This window comes from Homo sapiens, chromosome 17 (assembly GCF_000001405.40).
Source record: "Homo sapiens chromosome 17, GRCh38.p14 Primary Assembly".
Taxonomy (NCBI): domain Eukaryota; kingdom Metazoa; phylum Chordata; class Mammalia; order Primates; family Hominidae; genus Homo; species Homo sapiens.
The window spans coordinates 76,235,598-76,240,861 of NC_000017.11; the positions used below are offsets into that span (position 1 = coordinate 76,235,598).

Here is a 5,264-nt window from a genome sequence, read left to right on the forward strand (position 1 = left end):
CAAAGACTTATTATCCATGCCTTTAAAAACTGTTCTTGCAATAGGAAAGACCCATTTGACAAGAATATGTGTACTCTAAAATAACAAAAATTTGGAGAATGATGATGTAGACAGATGTGATACATCTATGGCTGGGTACGGTAGATCACTTCTGTAATCCCACTGCTTTGGGACCCCGAGGTGGGAGGACTGCTTGAGACCAGGAGTTCAAGACCAGCCTGGGCAACACAGTGAGATACTGTCTCTACAAAAACTTTAAACATTAGCCAGGCATGGTGGTATGTGCCTGTAATCCCAGCTACTGAGGAGGCTGAGGCAGGAAGATCGCTTGAGCCCAGGACTTTGAGGTTACAGTGAGCTTTGATAACACCACTGCACTCCAGCCTGGATGCCAGAGTGAGACCCTGTCTCTAAAAATAAATTATTTAATTTTTTAAAATCTACAATCAGTTGACTTTAAGTAAAGGAGATTATCCTTGATTATGTGGGTGGGCCTCTAGTCAGTTGAAGGCCTTAAAAGCAAAAACCCGGGTTTAACCAAGCTAGCTGGTCAGGACTCTGATTACCATTCTGAATTTCTGTAGTAGGTTTACTTCTTAAAGACTTCAGCAAAACAAATTATTCCTATTTTCCAACTTGCCCAAGTATGTGGAGGGAAACAAACTAGATTTATGAGGTACTGCTTTATATAAATTAAACTGTCTTTATATTATGCCTATTTCTTCCTGGATAGAGAAAACAGGCTTTTATCAATGTGGACTTTTATCAACGTGGATACTTCTGTCAAAAGATGAGCTTCATAAAAGCAACCATCTCCGCAAAGCCATACCTTTCTTTGCTAAACAAATGATCTTGGGCTTTTAAAGATGCAAAGATCTTAGAGAAGCATGTATGACTTCTAACTCAAAAATTACAAAAGTACATCCAAATACAGTAGAACCGTGCTCTAAATTGCTTTCTATGCTAATGTAGAAATGCTATACAGAAACTCCCACCATACTTTCTATTACTTAAATGATTAATATTCACACAATTATTAATAAATCTAAAAATCACCTAATGCATAACATTATTCATTGTTGCACTGTTTGCAATAGTAAGATACTGAAAAAACAACTCACAGATGTTTATCAACAGGAGACTATGTAAAAAAAAAGATGGCATATGCATGCAGAGGAATACTATATAGTTGTTAAAAAGCACAAAGAAACTTATCAAATATGAGACAATATAAAAAGATCTCCAATATCTCTGAAAGCAAACAGAGCAAGGTGTAGAACAGTCTAATAGCATGCTATGCTTGCATTTACACAAGAAACTCTAAAAGAATTCCAAAGAAACCAAAAGTGGTTACATGGGATGGGAGGTTTAGAGGGAGGAAGGAGAACCAGGTGGATGGACAACAGCGGTGAGAACAAGGCTTTCACTGTACACGTTTTCATTCTTTTAAAGTTTGAACCGTGTGACTATATTACCTATTCAAAAATAAATAATTCTAAATAATTTAGGCTATTTATTTCTATCTACCTCTATTTAAGGATAGAAAAAAGCTACAAACCCAAGTCTCAACTTGAAATCTGCCATTCTTGATAGGATTTAAATGTTTGTTTCAATGTGCATACAAAACTAAGAAGTTCCATTAAATATACTAAGAAAAAAGCAATTTCAGCTGGACACTGTGACCGTCATTACAAGGACAGATGATGGTGCTTCTTTCCGAAACAACTGTTCCACCGGCAGTGCAGGTCTAGCCGCTTTCCAGCGAGCCAGATAGTGGTCTCAACTTAACACTCAAACTACAAGGTATGTCATCTGGAGAAAGCTGACTCTGCCACTTGCTTTGTTCCACTGTTAGTACTCAGGATAAGGAGACTTCTCAAAATCAACCCAGGTTGATTCCTCTATAGGGACTTCAATTATGACACGAAATAGCCTTCATTCCATAATCATGGAATGATTGTTTTAAGTCTTGTTTTTTGAGTACAAGTTCAAAACCCAATTCCTTGAGAGGTGGAGGCAGACAGTATAGTAGGAAGAACACTAACTGGCTGAGAGACCCTGGCCATACCAATTCATTTCTCTGGGTCTCCATTTTCTTATCAGTGAAATGAATGGGAGGCCAAGGCGGGAGGATTGCTTGAGACCACGAGTTCAAGACCAGCCTGGGCAACATAGTGAGAGAGTGTCTCTACAAAAAACTTGCCTGGGCGTGGTAGCTCACACCCGTAATCCCAGCACTTTGGGAGGCCGAGGCAGGCGGATCACCTGAGAGGTCAGGAGTTCAAGACTTGCCTGGCCAATATGGTGAAACCCCATCTCCACTAAAAATACAAACAATTAGCCGGGTGTGGTGGCAAACACCTGTAATCCCAGCTACTTGGGAGACTGAGGCGGGAGAATTGCTTGAACCCTAGAGGCAGAGGTTGCAGTAAGCCAATATTGCACCACTTCATTCCAGCCTGGGCGTGACAGAGAGAGACGATGACTCAAAAAAAAAAAAAAAAAATTAAACATTAGCTAGGCATGGTGGTCATGGCCAAACTCTGTCAACGGTTCCTTTCAGGACTAATACTGTAATCCCATAAAGAGCCAGGTCAATTCAAAGATCAGAAGAAAGGCGATGCCTCCGTCTAGAGCATATATGCAAGCTCACATAAGGTTTCAAATACACAAAGGTTTGCTGACAGAGACAGGATGTTCTGATTCTATTTTCTATGTTTTAGCTTCAACAGAAATAATGTGGTCCACTTGCTATAAAGACTTCTCTCATGTATAACTTCTGATTTAACATGAATTACAGTTTTACAGTTAAACTTTTAAAACTGGTAGAGAGGAGAGGATTATTTATTGAGTGTGCTAATTAACAAAAGTTTTGGTTTGGTCTATTGTCTTTTTATTATCATCACCCAAGATTCATACTTGTACAAATATGCTTTGGGGAACAGCCTTCCAGAGGTTTACCTATGTTAAGTCCCACATATGAAAGAGCGGTGAATACTTTCCTGAGGCAGCAAACACTATTGAAAATTCCAAGCTCAGCAAAGTATGCTCCATATTTTGATCAATAAAAGCCATGTGGTTTAAGAAAAACAGAGCCCACAAATACTGCTGCATATTTTTGTCTATTTTAAAAAGTTTTCCTCATGCCGCCCTAAGAATATTTTTGTCTATTAAAAAACAAAATCTATGCCTTGGTTAGCGTTGATTTTATGTAGTCATAATCAGTCAGAGCTTTATTAAAATACTAACGACCCACAGCTTTATCTTAGACCTTTCTAAAACAATTCTTCACCATATTCATCTTTGCAAGGATTCATTCTTTGGTACAAAAGCAGTGAGAAACACAGCTCTGGCAGACACTCTGCAGGGATGCGGGCAGGTTCATCGTCTGGCCCCTGCTTTCACCTGGCAGACACTGGACACACTGCTGAGAAACCAGCTCATCTCAGTATGTCTCTATTCTACCAAAAAGAGACGAGGCTCTGCTCCAATTCTGACACCTCATTCCGAAATCACCAAAATCTCCATCGGGTCCTAAGCAGACAGAATGTCGCAGCCATTCATCCTCAGAAGTCTTGAGAATAAAATTAAAAGTAATTAATTAAAATAAAACTACTTGCAATTAAAAGTAAACACCGGCTAGGTCATGCAATTCATACTGGCCGGTGCTCACATAACTGAACTACCTTGTGATTCTCTGCTTTGCTGTCAAAATCCTCCTCCACCTCCAATGCTGATACCACAATCCAGAGGCTAGAGACATTTAAGTGAAGGGATGATTCTAATAACAAACATACTTCTATACGTTTCCAATACCTCTGCCCTGTCCCAGAGCTGGTCCCACTCCAAAACCCAGGCTTGCCACTACGCTAGCAAAGGGGCAATCCGAGTAACTCTGATACTCAGATTCCCAAACATTTCTGTTACTTTCCACCACCACCACCCCCCCCACCCCCCGGCTTCTGACAGCCTCTGCAAAAGCACCAGCACTGCAAATGCCTGTTTGGCTTCCATCCTTCAGCAGGCAATGGAAGCTTTTCCAGGAGAAACCTAATTCTAACCTTTCCAGAGGCCAGGAGACGGCAGCGCAGGGATAGCACCTGGCGCAAGTGCCTGTTTGGATGCCGAGGTCGCCTCCCTCGCGGCCCTCGGACCCCGCGAGGCAGGTAGGCTTTGGGCCGGGCCGGCCGGGTCCGTGCGGGGCGCCGACCTCGCCTACGACGCCGCAGCCCCGCTCCCCAGGAGCCTCGGTCCCTGCGGGCACGCGTCCCCGTCACGGGGCCGATTACAATGGAGGCCGCTCCCGTCCTCCCGTGGAGGGGCTCGGTGCCCTCGGTGACCCTGCTAGACCCGGCAGGACGCCCCTTGGGCTAATTCGCCCGGGGCGGGGGAGACCTCGGCCTTCTCGAAGACCTCCCGCGCTCGAAGACCGTTTCGGAGCGTCCGCAACCACTGAGTCCCCGAAGACCCGCGGGGCCCCCTCAGGCCGTCCCGACCCAGACCCCTGCCCCTGCCCCTCTCCCTCCTCGCGGCTGCGGCGCCCGCCCGCCCTCACCGGACTTGGGCGGGTAGCGGTACACGGAATTAGACGGGATGTCCACCTCCTCCACGCCCGCGTGCTGCCGGCTCGTCAGGGCCCCCATGGCCGCTGCGGCTGCAGCCCCGGCCCGGCCCCGGTGCCCGCGCCGCCCTCCGCGCTTCACCGCGGCCGCCCGCCCCGCGCCCGGTGCGGGGGCCGACTGCCCGCCGCGGCCGGCTCCGCTGCGGCGCTGCGGCTCTGGCGGCGGGGAGCCCCCGGCGCGCCGCGCACCATCCTCCGCCGGGCACCGCGGCGGCGCCTCTGCCAAGGGGGCTGCGGGTCTGGGCCGGGGGCGCCGCCGCCGCCTCAGGCCGCGTGATGTCAGCGGCCGCTCCGCGCGGGGACCGCGGCGGCCCCAGCCAATGGCGAGGCGGGGCGGGAGCGCCCGCGCCGGAGCAGCCAATGAGCGCGGGACTGCAGCAGGAGCCGGCGGCGCGTGCCTCGCGCGGGGAGCCGCGGCTGGACTCGGCGCGCGTGGACGCGGCCCAGGGCCTCGCGGCGGGGGCGTGGGCGTGGGCGGGGACTCGCGACGGGGACGGGGGCGCGGCCGGGTGCCCGCGGCGGGGCGGGGCGGGACCGGCCGGAGCTGGGACCCCAGGAGACGAGCGCTGCACCCGGCCGGGACGCGTCGCCCCTCCGCGCCTGTTTATCCCGGCTCGGATTACCGCGCAGGGAGCCGCCCCCT

General features: G+C 48.9%; 1 protein-coding gene across 6 annotated transcripts in view, besides 3 other annotated features; it reads right to left on the bottom strand.

Moving 5' to 3' along the window:
* The window catches only part of RNF157 (ring finger protein 157), a 98,020-nt gene extending 93,124 nt beyond the window's left edge, over positions 1-4,896 (bottom strand). For all 6 annotated transcript variants that reach the window (NM_001330501.2, XM_047435287.1, NM_052916.3 and 3 more), the window contains exon 1: positions 4,556-4,896. In NM_001330501.2, coding sequence (NP_001317430.1) covers positions 4,556-4,643 — 88 coding nt within the window. In that variant the 5' untranslated portion in view covers positions 4,644-4,896. The remainder of the gene's footprint in view (positions 1-4,555) is intronic.
* Positions 3,864-4,536: an enhancer, noted in NCBI's record as "H3K27ac-H3K4me1 hESC enhancer chr17:74235542-74236214 (GRCh37/hg19 assembly coordinates)". NCBI's record gives its function as "activates a minimal SCP1, AML or CMV promoter by ChIP-STARR-seq in primed H9 embryonic stem cells {active_cell/tissue: H9 hESC(primed)}" and the evidence as "EXISTENCE:reporter gene assay evidence [ECO:0000049][PMID:30033119]".
* Positions 4,841-4,980: a silencer, noted in NCBI's record as "silent region_9006". NCBI's record gives its function as "represses an Ori minimal core promoter by ATAC-STARR-seq in GM12878 lymphoblastoid cells {active_cell/tissue: GM12878}" and the evidence as "EXISTENCE:reporter gene assay evidence [ECO:0000049][PMID:35858748]".
* Positions 5,001-5,070: a silencer, noted in NCBI's record as "silent region_9007". NCBI's record gives its function as "represses an Ori minimal core promoter by ATAC-STARR-seq in GM12878 lymphoblastoid cells {active_cell/tissue: GM12878}" and the evidence as "EXISTENCE:reporter gene assay evidence [ECO:0000049][PMID:35858748]".